General features: G+C 43.4%; 1 protein-coding gene across 11 annotated transcripts in view, besides 5 other annotated features; it reads left to right on the top strand.

Moving 5' to 3' along the window:
• The window catches only part of DET1 (DET1 partner of COP1 E3 ubiquitin ligase), a 44,785-nt gene that overhangs the window by 2,847 nt on the left and 20,764 nt on the right, over positions 1–21,174 (top strand). For 3 of the 11 annotated variants that reach the window (NR_135742.2, NM_001144074.3, NM_001321596.1), the window contains 2 exons: positions 12,142–13,234; positions 16,071–16,258. Coding sequence is in view for 4 of the 11 variants with exons in the window: in NM_001144074.3 (NP_001137546.1) it covers positions 12,152–13,234; positions 16,071–16,258 (1,271 nt within the window). In the remaining 7 variants the exon portion in view is untranslated. Of the gene's footprint in view, positions 1–7,475; positions 7,546–12,141; positions 13,235–16,070; positions 16,259–21,174 lie in introns of all 11 variants that reach the window. The other 8 variants (NR_135739.2, NR_135744.1, NR_135743.1 and 5 more) reach the window with 7 other exon arrangements.
• Positions 1,471–1,672: a silencer, noted in NCBI's record as "fragment chr15:89085416-89085617 (GRCh37/hg19 assembly coordinates)". NCBI's record gives its function as "represses an EF-1alpha promoter that drives an FKBP-Casp9 reporter gene in an ReSE screen in K562 erythroleukemia cells {active_cell/tissue: K562}" and the evidence as "EXISTENCE:reporter gene assay evidence [ECO:0000049][PMID:32094911]".
• Positions 1,693–2,270: an enhancer, noted in NCBI's record as "H3K27ac-H3K4me1 hESC enhancer chr15:89084818-89085395 (GRCh37/hg19 assembly coordinates)". NCBI's record gives its function as "activates a minimal SCP1, AML or CMV promoter by ChIP-STARR-seq in primed H9 embryonic stem cells {active_cell/tissue: H9 hESC(primed)}" and the evidence as "EXISTENCE:reporter gene assay evidence [ECO:0000049][PMID:30033119]".
• Positions 2,271–2,849: an enhancer, noted in NCBI's record as "OCT4-NANOG-H3K27ac-H3K4me1 hESC enhancer chr15:89084239-89084817 (GRCh37/hg19 assembly coordinates)". NCBI's record gives its function as "activates a minimal SCP1, AML or CMV promoter by ChIP-STARR-seq in primed H9 embryonic stem cells {active_cell/tissue: H9 hESC(primed)}" and the evidence as "EXISTENCE:reporter gene assay evidence [ECO:0000049][PMID:30033119]".
• Positions 2,465–2,759: a silencer, noted in NCBI's record as "tiled region #9209; HepG2 Repressive non-DNase unmatched - State 23:Low". NCBI's record gives its function as "represses a minimal TATA promoter and a strong SV40 promoter by Sharpr-MPRA in HepG2 cells {active_cell/tissue: HepG2}" and the evidence as "EXISTENCE:reporter gene assay evidence [ECO:0000049][PMID:27701403]".
• Positions 4,584–5,163: an enhancer, noted in NCBI's record as "H3K27ac-H3K4me1 hESC enhancer chr15:89081925-89082504 (GRCh37/hg19 assembly coordinates)". NCBI's record gives its function as "activates a minimal SCP1, AML or CMV promoter by ChIP-STARR-seq in primed H9 embryonic stem cells {active_cell/tissue: H9 hESC(primed)}" and the evidence as "EXISTENCE:reporter gene assay evidence [ECO:0000049][PMID:30033119]".

Below are 21,174 nucleotides of genomic sequence, written 5' to 3'. Positions count from 1 at the left end.
CTGGAGAGCTGCTTGATCTGTTTTTGATAGCCTTTCCTGCTGAGGTGAGTAGCCCACGCTTCTGGTAGATGGCTCCATGTACATGCACAGTAGCAAAGGCGTACCTGCTGTCAGTGTAAATGTTAATACGTTTATCCTTACCCCATCGGAGAGCCTGAGTGAGGGCGATCAATTTAGCTTTTTGCACTGAGGTGTTTGCTGGTAAAGCCTGAGCCCACAACACATCTGTCTCCGTGGTAACAGCTGCACCGGCCTTTCATACTCGCTGCTTGAGAAAGCTGCTACCATCTGTGAACACAGCGGCGTCCGCCTTCTCTAGGGCCACATCTTGAAGATCAGGTCGGCCAGTTTCGGTAGTTTCTAACAGTTCCTTACAGTCTTGGATAGTAGCTGGATTTAAACACCATGTGGGAGAGAAAGTCAAACGAGGCTGATTCAACAACTCTGATATTGTAAAATGCAAGCATCTGACATCCATTTACCTGAAGCACTTTGTAGTAAAGTCTCTACAGCATGAGGAGCTGTAAGGGTTAAATCCTGGCCCAGAATTAACTTATCAGTTTCTTGGACTAGGCTTGCTCTAGCTGCTACTTGGCCATCCAGAGGCCACAGGATCCAGCCTCTTAGATAAATAAGCCATTGGGTGTCTCCAAGGTCTTAAAGTCTGAGTAAGCACCCCCTTAGCAATTCCCTGGCTCTCATGGACAAACAGATGAAAAGGCTTTGAGGTATCTGGGAGGCCTAAAGCAGGGGCTTCAGTTAAAGTCTTTTTCAGATTTTGAAAAGCCTGTTCTTCGGTGTCTGTCCAAATCAATGGGCCATTACCTCTTATAGCAGTATACAAGGGCTTTGCAATCTCCGCAAACCCCAATATCCAGAGATGACAGTATCTCACGGCCCTGTCATTCAGGCTCTTCTGTTGCAGGCAGGGTGAGAACTTTTTGTTTTCTGACTTTTCTTGTGGCAGTAGTGGGCATTCCTTTTTCCAGTGCCTAGTCTGCTTGCAATAGGCACATTGGTCTTTTCCTAGAGAGGCCTGTTCACCTCTTTTACTTTTCTGGTGGGAACCCAAGGTTCCTTGGCCATTTTTTCTGGAATGGGGGCCTTTCCTTTCTGCCCTCTTGGATAGCCATTAGTAAGATTTTTGCTTGTCTTTTATAGGCTTTATCAGCGGCCTTTTCAGCTGCCTGTGTTGCTTGTTTCTGTTTTCATACTCTCGATTGTCAAAAACCTTCTGGGCTATTTCTAAAAGCTGACTGTTATTTATCCCAGTAAATCCTTTCAGTTTCTGGAGCTTTCTCTTAATGTCCAGGGCTGCCTGAGCCTCAAATGCCAAATTAAGAGCGTGGCTATTTTCGGGAGCCACCGGGTCAAAAGGAGTATAAATGCGATAAGCCTCCTGGAGACATTCTAAAAACGCTCCTGGTGACTCATCAGGCCCCTGGACAACTTCAGTTGTCTTAGACAAGTTTATGGGCTTCTGAGTGGCTCCTTTAATATCCGTGAGGAGATACCAGTGAAAATCGTCCAAGGCTCTCCTTCCACCTGAGGAATTTGGGTCCCAATTAGGCCGGGTGGAGGGAATGACCTCCTCCAGGAGGTCTCTAGCTTCCTCCTCAGGCCTACCGGTTAATGCAAGGAAGTGTTTTCTGGCCTCTCTTCAGATGCGCTCCCTCTCCTCAGAGGTAAAGAGAGTTAAAAGGAGCTGTTGGCTGTCATCCTAGGTGGGTCGATGGGTCTGGAGCATGGACTCCATCAGTGAGGTCAAAGCCTGAGGCTTTTCAGAGAAGGGAGGATTATGGGTTTTCCAGTTATACAAGTCAGAAGTAGAAAAAGGGACATAAAACAGGAAGGGGGCTGAGCGCTCATCACCTGGAGGAACTTGTGCCTCTCTCAGTGGTAGTAGAGGGGCTGCTTCCTCCCAGCGCGGTCACAGCCGGGAGGCAATTGGGCGGTGAGCCCACAGGGGACGTCTCCTCGAAGAGACATGTCCTCCCTTCTTCAGAGGGAGGCAAAACAGGGGGAGCCGAACTGGCTGAGGGTCGAGGTGAAAACACGGCCTGGTTCAGGAGGACTTTGGAGGTGGAATTGTGAATGGCACATGAACGGAGCCATGGAGGAGGATTTCTAATCAAACTTAACCATTGATTGATATAGGGAAACTGATCAGGGTGGCCAGGAGTTCCAGTAACAACCCGCCACACGGCTTGAACAATTGTAGGATTCAATGATCCTTTAGAGGGCCACCCAACTCCAAACCTTGGCCATTCTACTTCACAGAGTGTCCGGAGCTTGCCTTTTTAAAGGCAGACTCCGTAATTCTCTGAAAAACCAAGATGTAGGGGTGGGTTGCCCCTACACACCTGTGGGTGTTTCTCGTAAGGTGGGACGAGAGATTTGGAAAAGAAAAAGACACAGAGACAAAGTATAGAGAAAGAAATAAGGGGACCCGGGGAACCAGCGTTCAGCATATGGAGGATCCCGCCAGCCTCTGAGTTCCCTTAGTATTTATTGATCATCTGTGGGTGTTTCTCAAAGAGGAGGATGTGTCAGGGTCACAAGACAATTGTGCGGAGAGGGTCAGCAGACAAACACGTGAACAAAGGTCTTTGCATCATAGACAATGTAAAGGATTAAGTGCTGTGCTTTTAGATATGCATACACATAAACATCTCAATGCTTTACAAAGCAGTATTGCTGCCCGCAGGTCCCACCTCCAGCCCTAAGGCGGTTTTTCCCTATCTCAGTAGATGGAGCATACAATCGGGTTTTATACCGAGACATTCCATTGCCCAGGGACAGGCAGGAGACAGATGCCTTCCTCTTGTCTCAACTGCAAGAGGCATTCCTTCCCCTTTTACTAATCCTCCTCAGCACAGACCCTTTATGGGTGTCGGGCTGGGGGACGGTCAGGTCTTTCCCTTCCCACGAGGCCATATTTCAGACTATCACATGGGGAGAAACCTTGGACAATACCTGGCTTTCCTAGGCAGAGGTCCCTGCGGCCTTCCACAGTTTTTGTGTCCCTGGGTACTTGAGATTAGGGAGTGGTGATGACTCTTAAGGAGCATGCTGCCCTCAAGCATCTGTTTAACAAAGCACATCTTGCACCGCCCTTAATCCATTCAACTCTGAGTTGACACAGCACATGTTTCAGAGAGCACGGGGTTGGGGCTAAGGTCATAGATTAACAGAATCTCAAGGCAGAAGAATTTTTCTTAGTACATAACAAAATGGAGTCTCCTATGTCTACTTCTTTCTACACAGACACAGTAACAATCTGATCTCTCTTGCTTTTCCCCACACCAAGAGAAAAATTTTCCAGCATACATTGGAGGGGGCTCCAACACTTGCAAGGCTGGGAGGAAGTGTTTCCCATTTTTTTTTTTTTTTAGAAGGCAATTTAACAGAATTTGAGCAGAGGTATCAGATCCAACATGGACAGAGAAACTCACTCCCTGGGGGGCTGGAGTATCAGAAAAACAGAATTAACATAACCAGAAAGAACAGAAAAATCACAACAGCTAATACCACTTGCCACATTGCTGTAGCTTTAAGATTGAGGGAGGGGGACTAGAGGCCAGCCTGAGGTCTCCTGGGTCAGTTGGATCTAGGCGTTCTCCCTCTTCTTCTAGATCTGTACCCTAAATACCTTTGGTGTCTCCATGACTCAAAGGCAAATAGCTTAAATTTAGCTCTTTCTTTCAAGGGTTCAAGGAGCGAGAGCAGAGCCAAGTCCTGGAGACACTGAACTTGCTGTCGCAGTGGAAACCGAAATGTGCAGAGTAGGGGGCAGGGACGAGGGGGAAAGGGACCACTCAGGTCATTTTTAAGATGAGAGAGTAGCCACAGGGGAACAGAGTAGGAGTCTAAACGAAGTAAAGCATGACAGGTGTAGGTTTCCCTACACAGTGTTCTGTTTAAGGGCACAGGAAAAGTTACAGAATGACAAAAAAGGTGAGCAAGGAAATCTGCAGGGTGGCTGTTTTGAACCCACCACCGGTTTAATCTAGAGGAGGTCCAATCACTTGGATGTGGGGTATGGCAATCTAAATGCCCACAACTTCCATGGTGCCAGAGATTTCAATCAGATGAATGTTCTTCACACTCATTCCTGTAACAACACCTTACTTGCCTCTGGCAGAAAAGACAGGACTGTGGTGGCCAGCCTGAACAACCGATGAGAAATTTAACCTCTTGTGACAAAAAAATCAGCACTAAGGACCTTGAAGAAGTTTTTACCCAGACGTCTTGGGCAATACCGACGTCCTGACATGCAAAACCTTGACAACCACTAAACAAGACAATAAACACTAAGCAGAAAAATAAACATAAAACAAACAATTTGACCCTAGGGCAGGTAAACAGTTTTGACAGTTTTTTCCTTTTTTTTTTTTTTTTTTTTTTTAGACAGACAAGGGGGGGCCCTCCCGTGATGGGATCAGTCAGATGCCCACCTGGTCACTTCCCCTGAGGGGACTTGGGCTCCTCTTAGCATTGGCAGGCCGGTATAAACCCCCGGCTTGGATCGAGCTATGTCCGATGCTGCCTTAAGCCTTGTGAGGTCGCCCCAGAACTGCAGGTGAGGGCCCACTCAAACTGTGTAGCTTTCGCCGTGGAGCTACAAACTGGAAGACAAATGCAAGCCTTTGTCCTCCCACAGTCACTCACCATTCACAGAGTTTATAACAGTTTTTTTTTTCTTTCCTGGAGATTCTCCAAGAAACTTGAATAAGAGAAAGAGAGAGAGAGAGAGAGAGAGCGGTCTGCCAGAAACCAAGGCTCAGCTCCCCAGCATCCTGGGTCTTCAGCTAAGTCCAAGGGAGGGGCCTGATCAGGACCACTTCCCACCTAAACCAAGACACAGAGGCGCCTACCAGAAAACCAAGGCTCAACCCAGTAGCGTCCTAGAGTAACGGGCTGAGTCAAAAGAGGGATGCCCTCGTCAGGGCCACTTCCCTCTTACCAGAACCAGAACAAAGTCAAATCTGACCTACCTGACCCCGGGGTGAGAAGCTGAGGACTCAGATGTTGAATTTTAAGGCACTGACATGGTAGTCGATCCACTCTCCTCCGGAAGGTGGTCACTGTTTGGGGACCTGAAAATTCTTTCCTCAGGTGGTAACCCCCTCTGAGCCGGCCGTCCTTCCGGGGGAGCCCGGAGCAAGACCAACTCTCACCCAGTGGCATTAATTTCTCGCTGGGGCCTCCATTATGTTGTACCCGGGGTGTTAGAGAAAACGCCACACTTTGAGACTAATTAAGAGTCCTTTACTAGCCGGTGACCGAGAGACGGCTAATGCTCAAAATTCTCTCAGCCCTGAGGAAGGGGCTTGATTAACTTTTATACCTTGGTTTAGGAAGGGGAGGGGGGGTCTAGTTAAAACAATTTTACAGAAGTTAGGTAGTCAAAAAGTTAAAAGGATAAATGGTTACAGGAAAGTAAACAGTTCCAGGTGCAGGGGCTTTATGACTATTACAAGGTGATAGACGTGGGGCTTTGGGTGTTATCAATCAGATGAATTCTTGGGGACTGTGGATATAGCTTGCCACAGTATCTTATCAGTTAATTGCATTCTTGGATGTGCTGGGAGTCAGCTTGCACAAGTTAAGTCCTTGAGGAAGGGGCTGCCAGTGAAAGAGCCAAGATGGAGTCTGTCTGGCTCTCTTAGCTAAGGGAGAGTCTAAAAACAGAGTTAGTAAAAACCAGTTTGGGCATTACAAGTGTCCCAATTCAGTCAGGCTTTCTTCTTTCGTTCCATAAAGTACCAAATGCCTACCATGTGCCAGTCCCAGTGCTAGGCTCTGAAAATACCGCATGACCGAGGTAGACCTGGTTACTTCCTGTCTGGAGAGTACAGGGTAGCAAGGGAATCAGACATTAAACACAAGCATGCAAGTGAAAGTGTAAATACAACTTGCAGTGATTACTATGGAGAAGACAAAATGTAATAATAACGGGAGTCCTGTTTTAGATAGGATGGTCAGGGAACACTTCCTAAAGGAGACTGCACTTAAGCTGCAACTTGAGAAGTTACAGCAAGGGGCAGGGGAAATGCATTCCAGGCAGAGGGAATAGTCCCTGTGGATGCCTGAGTTGACACAGAACTTCCCGTTAGACAGGTCCAGTGTTCAAGAAGGGAGGCTTACCATGTGTCAAACACTGTGATGAGCATACAGAATATAGTGTTTGCGTACTGGTCGGTGGGACATCACCATCTAATGAGGGCCATAAACATAAGTAAGATCTTCATCTCAGCTGCTCAACTCTGCCTATGTAGGGCAAAAGCAATATGTAAATGACTGGGTATGGGAGGGTTCCAGTGAAATTTCATTTACAAAAACTGGGAGGTAGGGGTCAGGTGTGGTAGCTCATGCCTGTAATCCTAGCACTTTGGGAGATCAAGGCAGAAAGATCACTTGAGCCAGGGAGGTCCATGGTGGTACCACTGTACTCCAGCCTGGGCGACAGAGTGAGACCCCAAAAAATCCAGGAGGTGAGAGATGGGCTAGATTTGGGCTGAGGGCGGTAGTTTGCAGACTCTTGCTCTAGTCTAGATCAGTATACATTTTATGTCTTTACTCAGTGCATGTAACTCCAATATAATTGAAATAAACGTTTTACAAAACAGTGCTTACCATTGCAATATATGATAGCTTGATACTTTCTATTTCATTTTTTAAAATGTCCGTAATACTATTCACTAAATTGATCCAAGGCTCTATTCATGAGGTGTGACTAGCAGTTTGAGAAACTTGCTCAGTCATGGAGGTATGTACATTTTTAACTTGACTGGGTATTATATATACTTATATAAGGCATTTGGAACCTTTTCAGAAGGAGACAGAATATGAATAAATACCTCATTGTGTGTACGTTTTAAAATACAGATTGGATCCAATCGCTCCCCTGCTTTCCAGTCTTTTTCTAGGCCTCTCTTATCACTCACTCTGTGCTTCCTGTGCTCTAACCACTTGAAATTGCTCTGTTTCCCAAATGTGCCATGTCATGCTTTTTAAAAATGTGTCTTTTAGCCTTTTAGGTACCTTTTTATCTAGTTTGTTCCTTTTTTTTTTTTTTTTTTTGAGATGGAGTCTTGCTCTGTTGCCCAGGCTGGAGTGCAGTGGTACAATCTTGACTCACTGCAACCTCTGCCTCCCGGGTTCAAGCAGTTCTCCTGCCTCAGCCTCCTGTGTAGCTGGAGTCCCCGCCACCATGCCCAGCTAATTTTTGTATTTTTAGTAGAGATGGAGTTTCACTATGTTGGCCAGGCTGGTCTCGAACTCCTGACCTTGTGACCTCCCTGCCTCAGCCTCCCAAAGTGCTGGTATTACAGGCGTGAGCCACTGCACCCGGCCAGTTTGTTCCTCTTTTACTTTGTTTAGTGTATTCTTATTCTTCAAGGCTCATACCAATTGTTGCTCCATTAATTATTTTAACATATTTATGAGCGCTTAACTGTCCCTTCTCCTAGGTGCTGGGAATACAGCAAGGAATTAGACCAGTTCCCTGCTCTCTGGTATGGTGGGACAGATACTAAAAAGGTAAACAACTTAATTTCAGGAAGAGATAAAGACCATTAATAATATAGGGTGTATCAGTAAATTCATGTGGGCAGACGTAAGGTGCCTGGGGAAGATTTCTGAGGAGGTACTATTTTAGCTGAGACTTGAATGATGAAACAGAGGCAGATCTTTCAGCACTTAAATAATGTTGTTCCACTTCTTTCTAACTTCCATGGTTTCTGATGAGAAATCTACAGACATTTGAATTGTTGCACCTCTATAGGTGATACGTGGTTTCTATCTGGTTACTTTAGAGGTTTTTACTGTATATCTTTTAGTTTTTTCCATTTTAGCTATGATGTGCCTGGGCATGGATTTCTTTGGATTTATCATATTTGAGGGTCTCTGAACTTCCTGAATTTGGGGGGTCTCTGAACCTTTTGAATTGGAGTTTATATCTTTAGCCAAATTTGGGAAATTTCCTTCCTCCTTCCCTTGCTTCCTTCCTCTCTCCCTTCCTTTCTTCTTTCCTTCCTTTCTTTCATCTTTCTTTTTTTCCCCTTCCTTCCTTTCTTTCTTTCTTTTTTTCTTTCTTTTGACAGAGTCTCACTGCATTGCCCAGGCTGGAGTGCAGTGGCATGATCTCAGCTCACTTCAGCCTCTGCTTCCCAGGCTCAAGTGATCCTCCCACCTCAGCCTCCTGAGTAGCTGTGACTACAAGTGCACACCACTGTGCCCGGCTACTTTTTGTATTTTTAGTAGAGATGGGGTTTTGCCATGATGCCCAGGCTGGTCTTGAACTCCTGGGCTCAAGCAATTTGCCCATCTCAGCCTCCCAAAGTTCTGGGATTATGGATGTGTGCCACCACCACCAACTATTACAGCCATTATTTCTTAATTTTTTTTTTTTTTCTTAGCATTCTACTCCTCAAGATCAGGGTGTTACAACTTTTGATATTTTCCCTAGGGCCCTGAGGCTTTACTGACTTTTTTTCAGTCTTTTTATTTTTTCCCTCTTTTGTTCACATTGGGTAATGTATACTAATCTATCTTCAGGGTGACTGACTCATTTCTCTGATGACTTCATTCTGCCCTTGAGCCCATCAGTGAGTTTTTTATTCTTTTTCAGAATTGTTTTTAAATTTTTAAAAGATATTTTACTAGAGTCTATGGAAGCTAGAAGAGTTTTGTATGCTGGTTATTGCTTTTTCAGCTCTAAACTTCTTATCTGGATCTTTAAGAAATATCTTCTGTTTCTTAGCTGAGACTTTGTTTTTCCATCATTTCAAGAGTGTTTGTGATTACTTATTGGAACATTTTTATAATAGGTACTTCAAAATCTGTCTCAGAGAATTCCAACTTTTGTAGCATCTCAACATTGGTGTCTGTCAATTGTCTTTTCTAGATTGAGTTTTTTCCTAGTACTTCATATGCTGAATGATTTTGGATTGTTTCCTAGACATTTTGAATATTATAAGATGATAGGGCTTGTTTAAATCCTAAGAGGATGTTGGTGATTTTTGGCTTGGTAGGCAATCTACCTAATTAGCTTCAGGGAATTTGCAATTTGTAACTCTCTTTAGGCTATGGTTCTAATGGCAGATGAATTTTCAGAAAGTCTTTGCAGTGCTATTTGGATCTGTCCCATGTATGTGACATTCAGTGGCCAGTCTGCAATCTGGGTGTTGATTATTTCAGTTCTCAAAGCCTTTAGTATGATTTGGACCAGATCCACACGTGTGCAGCTTGGGAGTTCATGAACAACTTCATGATGTTACTTTTCTGAGCTCCTCCCCATCTGATATCTCCCCAGTACCTTCTGGTTCCACTGGGGTCTCCCTTTTGATCCTCTGATGACAAAATTGGGGCTTTAATTATCCTTCCTTGCAACACACTTGCTCTTCAAGCAGCAGGAGAACCAGGGGAGACAATGTTAACCTCACTGCCCATTCAGTGGTACTTTATTGTTAGCCAATTGGTTTTTCTCATATGCCTGTCTTATGCATTCTGTCTAGGTTTTATAGCTGCATTTTTAGTGGGAGAGAGAAGGTGGTGTTTGATTATTCCATCTTATCTGGCAACAGCTTTATAACTTAAGTTTTTCACTAAATGCCGTTGACTTTTATGGCCTGTGATTTAACTTTGATTTGAATCAAGGTATAATAAAACAATTAGAAGACTTTGCCATATAATAGATGCCCCATAAATATTAAAACATATTTTTATTGTGATTTTAAAATAGCCTAACATTTACCGTCTTAACTGATTGTAAGTGTACAGTTCAGTAGTATTAAGTATATTCACATTGTGAAATTGATCTCGAGAAGTTTTTCATCTTGAAAATCTGAAAAGTCTAACCCATTCAACAGCACCTTCTCTTTCCCCTCCTGCTAGTCCCTGGTGACCACCATTCTTCTTTGTTTCTGTGAATTTGATTCCTTTTTCTTTTTTTAATGATAAGTATTTTACATTAATTTTTTTTTTTTTTTTTTTTTTTTAGAGATTGGGTCTTGCTCTGTTGCCCAAGCTAGACTCAAACTCCTGGGCTCAAGTGGTCCACCTCAGCCTCCCAAGTAGCTGGGATTACAGGTGTGTGCTATGGCACCTGGCTGTTAAATTTGATTACGTTTGATACTTCATTTAAGTGGAATCATACAGTATTTGTCTGTTTGTGATTGGCTTATTTGACTTCACATAATGTCCTCAAGTTTCAGTGATGTAGCATATGTCAGAATTTTCTTCCTTTTGAAGGCCGAGTAATATTCCTTTGTGTGTATATACCATATTTTGTTTATCCACTCATCCATCAGTGAACTTTTGGGTTGCTTCCATCTCTTGACTACTATGAATAGCGCTGATATGAACATGGGTGTGCAAATATCTCTTAGAAATCCTGCTTTCAGTTATTTTGGATTTATACCCAGAAGTAGAATTGTTGGATCTTATGGTAGTTCTAATTTTCTTCAAGGAACCTTCATACTGTTTTCCTTAGTAGCTGTACTATTTTTCAGTTCCACCAACAATGCACAAGGGTTCAACTTCCTCTATGTCCTCAATGAAACTTGTCATTTTCTTTTTTTAAAAAAAGCAGTCGTTCTAATGGGTGTGAGGTGATATCCCATTGTAGTTTTGATTTACATTTCTCTGATGATTAGTGATGTTGAGCATCTATCTTTTCATATGCTTTGTGGCCATTTGTATAGGAGAAATGTCTGTTCCAGTACTTTGACCATTTTAAAATTGGGTATATGATTTTTTGTTATTGAGTTATAGGAGTTCTTTATATGTTCTAGATATTAACCCTTTATCCAATATATGATTTGCAAATATTTTCTTCCATTCTGTAGAAAGCCCTTTCACTCGGTTGATTGTGTCCTTTGATCACAGAAGTTTTAAGTTTGATGTATTCCCATTTGTCTATTTTTGTCTTGGTCGCCTATGCCTTTTGTGTCTTATCCAAGAAATCACTGCCAGATCTGATGTCATGAAGCTTTCCTCCTGTATTTTCTTCTAGTAGTTTTATAGTTATGGGTCTTATATTTAGATTCTTTTCCTATTTTGGGTTAATTTTTGTATAGGGTGTAAGATAGGGTCTGACTTCATTCTTTTGCATGTGGCTATTCAGTTTTCCCAACACCATTTGTTGAAGTGACTGTCCTTTTTCTATTGAGTAGTAGTAGGACCTTATCAAAGATTGTTTAACCATATATGCCAGAGTTTATCTGTGGGCCATTTCATTGGTCTGTGTCTGTCTTTATCCAGTACCACAATTTTTTGATTACTGTGGTTTGTAATATATTTTGAAATCAAGAGGCTTGAATCCTCTTTGTTCTTTTTCAAAATTATTTTGTGTATTTGGAGGCCCTTGAGATACCATATGAATTTTAGGATGAATTTTTTATCTTTGTGAAAAGTGCTATTAGGATTTTGATAGGGTTTGTATTGAATCTGTAGATTATTTTGGGTAATATGGATATCTTAACAGCCCAATAAATATTTTTTGCTGGAATGAATGCACATTGAATATGATTTTTTTGTTTGTTTGTTTGAGATAGAGTCTCACTCTGTTGCCCAGGCTGGAGTGCAGTGTTGTGACCACGGCTTATTGCAGCTTCGATGATCCAAGCTTAAACAATCCTTCCACTTCAGCCTCTCAAGTAGCTGGAACTACAGTCATGTGCCACCATGCCTAGCTAATTTTTATATTTTTTTGTAGAGACAGGGTTTTGCCATGTTTTCCAGGCTGGGCTTGAACTAGTGAGCTCAGGTGATCCACTTGCTTCGGCCTCCCAAAGTGTTGGGATTACAGGTGTGAGCCACTGCGCCCAGCCGAATGTGTCTTATACTGTTCAAATTTGTAGTTGTAGGTTTTTTTCTGTTGAACTTTCCCAACAGCTGAGCATACTTGGAAGGTATTCCTAGTGAACTAGATCCTTCCCTTAGACCTGTTTCTAGACTTAGAAATGTTAGGACCACTTACTCAGTATAATCTGGGAAGTAGTAATGCCAGTCACTGTCATCTTGGGAGCTCCTAGGTTCAGGATATAAGAAGAGAAATCTGTTTCACTTGTATATATTTATATTTTGGTAAATTCTGTTTCACTTTCTTGACTTCTGCTTTACTTTTCTGTTTAGAGATGTGATAATGGATCATCATGTTTCTACCATCAAGCCTCGAAGAATCCAAAACCAAAATGTCATTCACCGCTTGGAACGCCGGCGGATCAGTTCAGGCAAGGCAGGTACCCACTGGCACCAAGTCCGAGTGTTCCATCAGAATGTCTTCCCCAACTTCACAGTTGTCAACGTTGAAAAGCCTCCTTGTTTCTTGCGTAAATTCTCACCTGATGGACGCTACTTTATTGCTTTTTCTTCAGACCAGACATCTCTTGAAATCTATGAGTACCAGGGCTGCCAGGCAGCAGAGGACCTACTGCAGGGATACGAAGGAGAAATCCTGTCCAATGGCAATGACCAGCGGTCAGTGAATATCCGGGGCCGGCTCTTTGAACGCTTTTTTGTCCTGCTGCACATTACCAATGTTGCGGCCAATGGTGAGCACCTGAACCGGGAGTGTAGTCTCTTCACTGATGACTGCCGCTGTGTCATCGTGGGCTCAGCTGCCTACCTCCCAGATGAGCCTCACCCTCCATTTTTTGAGGTATATCGGAACAGTGAATCAGTGACCCCCAACCCACGGTCCCCTCTAGAAGACTATTCCCTCCATATCATTGACCTTCACACCGGCCGCTTATGTGATACACGCACGTTCAAGTGTGACAAGGTGGTCTTGTCACACAACCAAGGGCTGTACTTGTACAAAAACATCCTGGCCATCTTGTCTGTGCAACAACAGACCATCCATGTCTTCCAGGTGACTCCTGAAGGCACTTTCATTGATGTGCGGACCATTGGCCGCTTTTGCTATGAGGATGACCTGCTCACTGTGTCAGCTGTTTTCCCTGAGGTACAGCGGGACAGTCAGACAGGCATGGCCAATCCCTTTAGGGATCCTTTCATCAATTCCCTCAAACACCGGTTGCTGGTATATTTGTGGCGCCGGGCAGAACAGGATGGTAGTGCAATGGCCAAGAGGCGCTTCTTCCAGTATTTTGACCAACTGCGGCAGCTGCGAATGTGGAAAATGCAGCTTCTGGATGAAAACCACCTGTTTATCAAGTACACTAGTGAGGATGTAGTAACACTGCGAGTCACAGATCCATCACAGGTATGAGGTACACTCCTGCCTTTTACTTGTCTAATCTCCTTGGCAAAATGGGAAGGTTTCTCTGTTTGTTTATAGCCCACCCCTCAGAAATAGACATTTCACGTAGTCTGAATTGATATCCTAGGGCCCAAACTTAAAATCAGCTCCATTTTTCTCTGGTCATATGTATTTATCTGGACAAATGGAAGCTAAAGTTCAAGTCATTGACAGGAAGATAGTCACCTCTGATTACTACCCTAACTCTTCTGCAGAGTATTTTCAGTACTCATGAGATGGAAGCCCAAATGCTACAAGGTCAAGGTTTGGACTACTTATGGATAACCTCCCTTGATTTTGTAAGACTGTATTATTGGTCTGGCTGTTTTAGTTCTGGCAATGAGAATGAGTACACCATACCAAAAAGAAAATTCTCTAAGTAACCCCACTTTCATCCTTAAATGGTTAATGTCAATTTACTTCTCTGTAAAGTACTATAAAGTCCTATTTATAAGGTAACTAATAAGTGCATTCATTTGGCAGAATTAAGTTTTGTGACTTTACCCTGACCTTGCCCACATGCTGGGACATAGGTTGTAGAGCAGTGAAGAGGTCAAAAGGAAGCTGAAATTTATGATCCGTGAGGAGAGTCATCAGGACAGCAAATCTTAAAGGTTTTTCAGTTTGGGGGAAGAATGCCTTTCTTTCAGTAGGGGGAAGAAGCATTTCCCAAAAGGGAATAAGGTGATATAAAGAGCACAGAACTGCTAAGATTTGGGGATTGAAAAACTATGTTGAAATTAAGGGTAATTTGGGCATTTGTCTTTGAAAACCTCTCCACTTCAGTGTTGACCAAGTTAGACAACTACCTTTCTACACCTATGTCTCCCCATTCTCCTGTTTGCAGATTGTCTCCTTAGACACTAGTTTGGAAATTCAGAACAACCAGCAAATCAGTAAACCACGAAGTCAACTGAGTTTGGTATCTCTTATTGACCTGTAGCTGATTCTACCATTAACAGATTCTGTACAGGGTATCGTGTCCTAAAACCTCACCAGCTACCTGTGGTAAAATATCTTCTAACATTTTCCTTCTGAATTGTAGTTTATGTGTTCTAAAAAGAAGTAGGGGAGTAATATGGTTAGAGATCATTTGTTGTGGATTTTTTTTCTTCCCTATCAATGATGAAGTCACCCATTGAGCAATCATGGGTGAGCATCTGGTTCATCTTATGCATCATGGGATCCTGCAGTCAAGTCCTTGACTTCTCTACTCTCCTGTTCTTTATTTCCCAGTCTGCCTTGGAGGGAAGGCTAGTAAATGTTTGAGTAATTCTATATCCATGTAATTATGAGAGATTCTGGTGAAACCCTGATAGGATCAAAGTGTTGTCCAGGGCCATAGAAAGGACATGAATCAATCTTTTGTTTAGGTTTGAGCTATAATTACCTTTTTATTTTGGAGGGAATAAGTTGTCTGTGACTGCTGCCTTTGAGATTATCCTTTTCTTCTTTGCTAAAAGGTGGCCTAGTTTTTTCTGGTAGGTACAATAAGTTGTAGCTAATGACATAACTGGGTTCTATGCTTTGCTTACACAGTTTGTAACTCTAAACCCAATCTTTCTGCCCCAGTTGTCCTTTGCTCTCCTCCTCCAGTTTAATTTGATAGGTTCCAATAAGATTAATAAGTAAAAAGTACATCCAAACACAAGGCCTCGGTAATATTATGAGTACTATTCTCAGGTTACCCTCTAGCCTCTTTAATTTACAGCCAAATTTAATTTGCAGGTGACTGCAAAAGCCATGTAATATAAGCTCTGAGAAGGACTAATTACTAGTAAAACAGGTGGGTCGAATGGCTCCAGAAATTGGTAATGGAGATTTAAACTCAATCATAGGAGGCTGGAGTACTAATCCTAGTGGTCTGAGAACTTCTAGAGTCCTGTCAGAAGTAGTTGATTCACACTGCTACATTCACTGTAACAAAAATTAGGGGTTCTTGGAGCTTCCTTGTTAGGCAGAGCAGATCACTGGAGGTTTAAAGGAAGAGGGCTAGCCACCAAGGGGCCCATTTAGAAAAAGCAGTAACTCTGCCACCTATGGCATTTGAATGCTTTTCAGGTTCACCCTCTGATCTTAATTGCTACAAATCTCAAATGTGTTTTACAAATGCTCTTGGCTGAAAGAACATTTATGAGGAAAAAAGTGGAAAACGCCTATCTGATTTTTCATTTGTTCAGCAGTACCCTGCTTGTATACAACTTGCCAGGGCAGTTTAGAACTCGATGTACTTAAGGTGTCTCTCTGCATGTTAGAAATATTAAGAGGGAAAAATAAATACCCCTAAATTGAACTTTCAACTGTACACTTACAAGAGAAAATAATTTGCCAACAGGCAGCTCCAGGCTGCAAATCACTTTTTCAGCAGGAAAGAAAATTAAATCTGGCATTTTAAGAAGTGCTTTTTATTTCAGGGTGGGTTGGGGAGCGAGTAGGGAATAAACACTTGGAAGGAAAAATATTGAATTTGCACAGTTTGAAATGAAAATTTAAAACCTTTTTATACTTATATGCTGGCCATCTCAGTAATTCTAGCAGCACAGATACAGTGGAAAATCTGGCAACATTGAGGCTCTCAGTTGATAAATCCCACTGTTGCTTCCTATTTTCCCAGAACCACTTGGAGCCATGTTTCCACCTTAGTGGTAAAGCCGAGGTGTTTGCTTGTTGTTGTTGTTGTTGTTGTTGTTGTTTTTGGAAAATTCATGCCTTGAATTTTCAGCCAAGTAATAAGTGCTAAGTTTCCTACGCATGGCATTATACTCAGCTGTCCCATACCTCTCTCTCTTTTCTTCTGCAGGCATCTTTCTTTGTGGTGTACAATATGGTGACGACAGAGGTGATTGCTGTGTTTGAGAATACATCAGATGAGCTTTTGGAGCTCTTTGAGAACTTCTGTGACCTTTTTCGTAATGCTACCCTGCACAGTGAAGTTCAGTTTCCCTGCTCAGCTTCTAGCAACAATTTTGCAAGGCAGATCCAGCGCCGGTAAGCTGTTCCACCAGACTCAACAGTCTTTTCTTTAGAAAAATTGGTGTTAGGCCAATAGCTGTTGTCTCTAGGAAACCTCTTATTCTGTCTGTCCACATAGCTTTGGTTATTCTGCTTATTATAACCCCTTGTTTCTTCCTGAACTTCTTTCTGTCTCAGCACCTGTAGAATTATTTGTGCATTGTCTGTGATTCTTTCTAGACTGCATGTGAGCTGCAGAAAGACAGAGGCTGTGTCTTCATGTATTGCTATATCTTCAGTGGTACACTGTCAAGCACTTATGTTTATTGAATGAATAAGAAAATCATTTTAGAAACTTTTGGTTAAACATGATATGTTGAACACATGTATTTATCTTTGCTCCATCCCTAAGTCCCACTCAAATGACAATAAAGGAATAAGAGGTATAAACATTAGAGGTATAAACAAAGTATAGAACTCTTTGTTCTGTAAGAACAAAGAGAATAGGAGAGGAGATGATGGGAGATAGGACATATTAACAAAGTTTTAAAAGCTGAAAAGCCAGTGAATGAATGAGAACTGACTTAGCATACCTCAGAGAGCAGAAACTCAAGGCTGCAGAGCTAAGTCATCAAGAAACAAGCTGCCTTACACCAGATAACTTGGGAAAGGGTCAGGAAGTTGGAGGTCCCAGGTGCCTCTGAAAATACTTCTGAAGGTATCTGTGAGGTAGGCTGAAATGAGGAGGATTGGTAAAGTTCTTAAAAGGAGCAGTCAGACCCTCTAGATCCCTTTTCTAGGTCTACATAGCCAAGTGACTATCTCTTCTTTTACCTCTGCAAAAGGCTGGAAGTTTATTCTCTGAACAGATTGAACCAGATGGGCTCTGGTCTCAAGTTCATGAGGTATATCTAAAAGTAGGGATGAGACATGTTATGCTAAAAACAGGAATTAGGTGAAAGTTGACATACTGAAGGGTAGGAGTCCTATCCCCCTTCCCAGATATGGCATCCAGGCTTGTACTCTCCAGGCAGGAGGTTAGAGATTCTTCCCTAGGAAAACTGACCAACACAAAGAGGAGATTTACATATATTGACACCTGGAGTCCCTTTACAAATCACTTAGGTCACCCTAAATATATACCCCACAGTCAGCAAGGCCCTCCTATGAGCCAGAGCTTCTGATAATTGCCATAGTGCATTATTATGAAACAAATGGTTCCTTTGGGCCAAGGGCCTAAATTAAATCCTACTTTAGTTAGACAGTGCCTCATCATATTTCACATCCTTAAATTGTTTCCCTTACTTTAGACAGTAATGGAAAATACCTGTTTTAGGTCCAAAGATAGATCAGACCACAGTGAGTGGATGAATCAGAATAAGCATTACTGCCACTGGGAAAAACATATCTCTTAATGCAGTGGCATCATGTTTATATAAAAAGATAGTACTCAATTACAGATAGATGGCTATTGAATTCAGACAACTGTCTTGCGTTTTCCTTTTTCTTTGGTTCACACAAATCTTCTGCCTTAGTATCTCTTCAGTATAGAAGAATTTTTAGATGCAGAACATGGGTCAGATTTTGCTTTTTTTCATTTTGGGATGAATTTTCTTTTAAAATTTGCTTCAAAATTAAGCAGATAATTAACAAGTAACAGTCTGAGTGTGGTGGCTCATGCCTGTAATCCCAACACTTTGGAAGTCCAAGCCAGGTGGATTGCTTGAGTCCAAGTTTCAAGACCAGCCTAGGAAACATGACAAAACCCTATCTTTACAAAAAATGCAAAAAAAAAAAAAAAAAAAAATAGCCGAGTGTGGTGGTGCATGCCTGTAGTCCCAGCTACTAGGGAGGCTGAGGTGGGAGGATCACTTGAGCCTGGGAGGCAAAGGTTGTAATGAGCCATGAGCATGCCACTGCACTCCAGCCTGGGTGACAGAGCAAGACCCTGCCTCAAAAACAAAAAACAAAAAGAACAAAAGATGGGTACACTCACTCAAAACATCAAAGAAGTCACTAGATGATAAGCTCCATGAGGGCAGGGATTTTGTCTGTTATGTCTACTGCCATATCCACAACACCAAGGCCAGTGTCTGCCCTGTGGGAGGAGCTCTGTAGGTATTTGCTGAATGAATGAAGTTATCCAGGAATTAGAAGGAACTCTGTTTTCCAAAAATTATTTCAGAATACATCTGGAATTAAACAAAATTACAGAAAGCTCCAGAAAAAACTGAGGAGAAAGGTTGTATATTCCAGCTCAGTGATCTTCAGAATTTTACTGTACCACCAAAAGATTTTGAAAAATTGGGGGTACCCTCACATATTTTTAAGTCGATTTTTAAATTTTTTTTTCCTGTTACTACTAAATTTAAGCAGTTGCAGAGGATGCTATTTTCAGTGGATATTAAACATTGATACTTAAAGTTATTCCAACACTTTAAAATATAACAAAAGGATGCTAATTACCGTAGTAATTTGGTATTCAAGTATTTTATATGAAAAATTCACAGCAAATTATACCCATAATTGGGAATTTTACATTGTTTCTTCTGATTCTCAAATTTATATGTCTCTTCTGTCTCCCCAACAGAATTGTATGCTAACATATTTTGTTGACCACTAATCATACTTTGCTACATTGAAAATATAATGTATATATACATTGAAAAATTTTTTTTTAATAGTATTTATTGATCATTCTTGGGTGTTTCTTGGAGAGGGGGATTTGGCAGGGTCATAGGACAATAGTGGAGGGAAGGTCAGCAGATAAACATGTGAACAAGGGTCTCTGGTTTTCCTAGGCAGAGGACCCTGTGGCCTTCCGCAGTGTTTGTGTCCCTGGGTACTTGAGATTAGGGAGTGGTGATGACTCTTAAGGAGCATGCTGCCTTCAAGCATCTGTTTAACAAAGCACATCTTGCACCGCCCTTAATCCATTTAACCCTGAGTGGACACAGCACATGATTCAGAGAGCACAGGGTTGGGGGTAAGGTCACAGATCAACAGGATAAGAATTTTTCTTAGTACAGAACAAAATGGAGTCTCCCATGTCTACCTCTTTCCACACAGACACAGTAACAATCTGATCTCTCTTTCTTTTCCCCACATTTCCCCCTTTTCTATTCGACAAAACCGCCATCGTCATCATGGCCCATTCTCAATGAGCTGTTGGGTACTCCTCCCAGATGGGGTGGCGGCTGGGCAGAGGGGCTCCTCACTTCCCAGACGGGGCAGCCGGGCAGAGGCGCCCCCCACCTCCCGGACGGGGCGGTGGCCAGGCAGGGGCTGCCCCCCACCTCTTGGACTGGGCAGCTGCTGGGCGGAGACGCTCCTCACTTCCCAGATGGGGCGGCTGCCAGGCGGAGGGGCTCCTCACTTCTCAGATGGGGCGGCCAGGCAGAGATGCTCCTCACCTCCCAGACGGGCTGGCGGTGGGGCAGAGACACTCCTCAGTTCCCAGACGGGGTCGCGGCCGGACAGAGGCGCTCCTTACATCCCCGACGGGGCGGCCGGGCAGAGGCACTCCTCACATCCCAGATGGGGCGGCGGGGCAGAAGCGCTCCCCACATCTCAGACGATGGGCGGCCGGGCAGAGACGCTCCTCACTTCCTAGATGTGATGGCGGCTGGGAAGAGGCGCTCCTCACTTCCTAGATGGGATGGCGGCCGGGTGGAGACGCTCCTCACTTTCCAGACTGGGCAGCCGGGCAGAGGGGCTCCTCACATCCCAGACGATGGGCGGCCAGGCAGAGACGCTCCTCACTTCCCAGACGGGGTGGCGGCCGGGCAGAGGCTGCAATCTCGGCACTTTGGGAGGCCAAGGCAGGCGGCTGGGAGGTGGAGGTTGTAGCGAGCGGAGATCACGCCACTGCACTCCAGCCTGGGCAAGATTGAGCACTGAGTGAGCGAGACTCTGTCTGCAATCCCAGCACCTCGGGAGGCCGAGGCGGGCAGATCACTCGCGGTCAGGAGCTGGAGACCAGCCCGGCCAACACAGCAAAACCCCGTCTCTGCCAAAAAATACAAAAACCAGTCAGGCGTGGCGGTGCGCGCCTGCAATCCCAGGCACTCGGTAGACTGAGGCAGGAGAATCAGGCAGGGAGGTTGCAGTGAGCCGAGATGGCGGCAGTACAGTTCAGCCTCGGCTTGGCATCAGAGGGAGACTGTGTAAAGGGGAGAAGAGGGAGAGGGAGACCGTGGAAAGGGGAGACAAGAGTGAGAGGGAGCTGAAATTTTTTTTTAATTCTTGTGAACACATGGTTCTAAATGCTAAATTTTATAGTAATCTTTTCCCAGCAATCTTTTGGTAAAAATCAATGAAATTGGGACCCTTATAGGTCAAAATAAATGTTCAAGAATAAAAATGGTCACCAAGGATCATGAGTCATTTCAGGAAAGCCTTTATCCTAAAAGTGACCAACACAAAACAAACAGAATAAAGAATAAAGAGTAAGGAAACAGGTCTGGCATGGTGGCTTATGCCTTTTATCCCAGCACTTTGGGAGGTTGGCGTGGACTGATCGCTTGAGCTCAGGAGTTCAAGACCAGCCTGGGTAACATGGCTGGTCTCCGAAAAAACAAAAAAATTAGCTGGGTGTGGTGGCATGCGCCTGTCGGCTCAGCTACTTGGAGGGGCTGAGGCAGGAAGATTGCTTGAGCCTGGAAGGCGGAGGTTGCAGTGAACCGAGATCAAGCTACTGCATTCCAGAGTAGGTGACAAAGTAAGACCCTATCTCAAAAAAAAAAAAAGAAGAAGAAAAAAAAAACAATGTTACATTCGCTGAATCAATTGAAAGTATAAAAACAGGAACATTCCAGCCGGGTGCGCGGTGGCTCATGCCTGTAATCCCAGCACTTTGGGAAGCTGAGGCAGGCGGATCATGAGGTCAGGAGATGGAGACCATCCTGGCTACCATGGTGAAACCCCGTCTCTTCTAAATAAAAAAAAATACA

The sequence above is a fragment of the Homo sapiens genome, chromosome 15 (genome assembly GCF_000001405.40).
Source record: "Homo sapiens chromosome 15, GRCh38.p14 Primary Assembly".
Classification (NCBI taxonomy): domain Eukaryota; kingdom Metazoa; phylum Chordata; class Mammalia; order Primates; family Hominidae; genus Homo; species Homo sapiens.
This window is presented reverse-complemented; position numbering and strand designations above follow the sequence as displayed.